The sequence below is a fragment of the Homo sapiens genome, chromosome 4 (assembly GCF_000001405.40).
Source record: "Homo sapiens chromosome 4, GRCh38.p14 Primary Assembly".
Classification (NCBI taxonomy): domain Eukaryota; kingdom Metazoa; phylum Chordata; class Mammalia; order Primates; family Hominidae; genus Homo; species Homo sapiens.
The window spans coordinates 57,412,720-57,413,241 of NC_000004.12; positions in this window are offsets into that span (position 1 = coordinate 57,412,720).

Consider the following 522-nt stretch of genomic DNA (forward strand, 5'->3'; position numbering starts at 1 on the left):
ACTTTGAATAATGCGCAGGAGGGTCTGGGTACTGAGCCTACGTGACAGTCCCATTCTTGGATCTTGGTGGGCTGCTTCTGGTCTGGTTTTTTGTGTTGTGTCGGTGACTCAAACCAGAACTCCTTGGGCACCCACAGGTCCTATAGAACACGGCATGCCCAGCCCAAGATTTCTTAGGCAGTCCTGCTATGTGAGACCAGAGTGTGAGGAATACAGCTTTCTGCTGGGTAATGAAAAGAAAACATTATAATAAGGACTCACATTTGCAACATCTGTTTCATTTGGGTAATTTTAGATGGCTAAAACCCACATCTCAGAATGATGAGGGCTCCTATCATCTTACAAATGATTGCTTCGACATCTCTAAGCACTCACTGCAGTAATTAATAGACTGTAAGGGCTGAGAAGAAATAGGACCCTTATTAAGCTCAGGAAACAGCATCCCTCTGGGCAAACTGACATAGAAGAAAACAGCGTCATGGTTTCTCTCTCCTAGAAAAGACTGAAAAAAAAAAGTCTCTC